Source organism: Homo sapiens, chromosome 7 (assembly GCF_000001405.40).
Source record: "Homo sapiens chromosome 7, GRCh38.p14 Primary Assembly".
NCBI classification, from domain to species: Eukaryota; Metazoa; Chordata; class Mammalia; order Primates; family Hominidae; genus Homo; species Homo sapiens.
This window is the reverse complement of record NC_000007.14, coordinates 69,060,196-69,061,215: the sequence shown is the minus strand read 5'-3', so window position 1 is coordinate 69,061,215 and position 1,020 is coordinate 69,060,196. Positions and strand designations below refer to the sequence as shown.

Here is a 1,020-nt window from a genome sequence, read left to right as displayed (position 1 = left end):
CCAGAATGAACCTGGGGAGAGGAAGTGCTCTGGTGGCTGTGATTATAGAGGCACAGACTGGGAGCAGTGAATGGAGGGGCAGCTCAGTACCAAATTGCAACGAGCTCTGAATGTCTTGGTGAGACTTTCATTCCTCGTTCTGTGAGGGATTTGCAGTTACTAAATAATTGCTAAGCAGTGATTCCAAACCAGAAATCCAGGAGGATCCAATTCCAGGGGATTTTAAGCTTTCTGAAAGCCTCCTAGAGGGAAAAAGATACTGAAAAAGGATTTCTTACATATTCACTTATACCATTCTTTCTTAAGTTTACAAATGAGACCCTCCATAAAATATTGTGCTCACTAGGGAAATAATTCTGGGATTGATCTAAATCCTTTAGTCTCAAAGTATTTATGTAAACATCTGTCTCAGGCAGGGTCCCAGCAGGAGGCAGATGGTGCACTCCAAAGGAGAGGCTGAAGAGAGTGTAGTGACTATTTACAGGGAGGTGGGCTAAGTTAAGGGAGCCAATTCGAGGTAGTTAATTGCCCTGGGCTGATTCCACCCCTGAGCTTGAAGGCTCAAGGGAAAGGAGTGGTTTCATCAACTCTACAAGGAAGAGCTACAGGAAGAATGCCATAGGAAGAGCTACTCCTTAAGAGTGTGGTTCTGTGGGGAAGAAAGAGCGTCACTGTACTGTAGCCCAGGGAACGAGCTGGGGTTAGGGGTGAATACTCTGCCTCTCTCTCCTCCTGCCTTGGTGAAAGGAAAATATTTTGGGGCCCCCAAAATCACTGAGTTAAAGGGAAAATTCAAGCTGGGATCTGCCCAGGGCAAATCTGCCCCCATTATATTCAAAGTCATACCTCTGCTCACTGAGATGGATGTCTATTCTGATTGCCTCCTTTGGAAAGGCTTATCAGAAACTCAAAAGAATGCAACCATGTGTCTCAAACCTACCTGTAACCTAGAAGCTTCCTCCCTGCTTCGACTTGACCTTGCCTTTCTGGACAGAAACAATGTATTTCTTACATATATTG

At 45.0% G+C, this 1,020-nt stretch overlaps 1 annotated feature.

Annotated features, from left to right (window-relative positions):
• Positions 219-734: an enhancer, noted in NCBI's record as "NANOG hESC enhancer chr7:68525469-68525984 (GRCh37/hg19 assembly coordinates)". NCBI's record gives its function as "activates a minimal SCP1, AML or CMV promoter by ChIP-STARR-seq in naive H9 embryonic stem cells {active_cell/tissue: H9 hESC(naive)}" and the evidence as "EXISTENCE:reporter gene assay evidence [ECO:0000049][PMID:30033119]".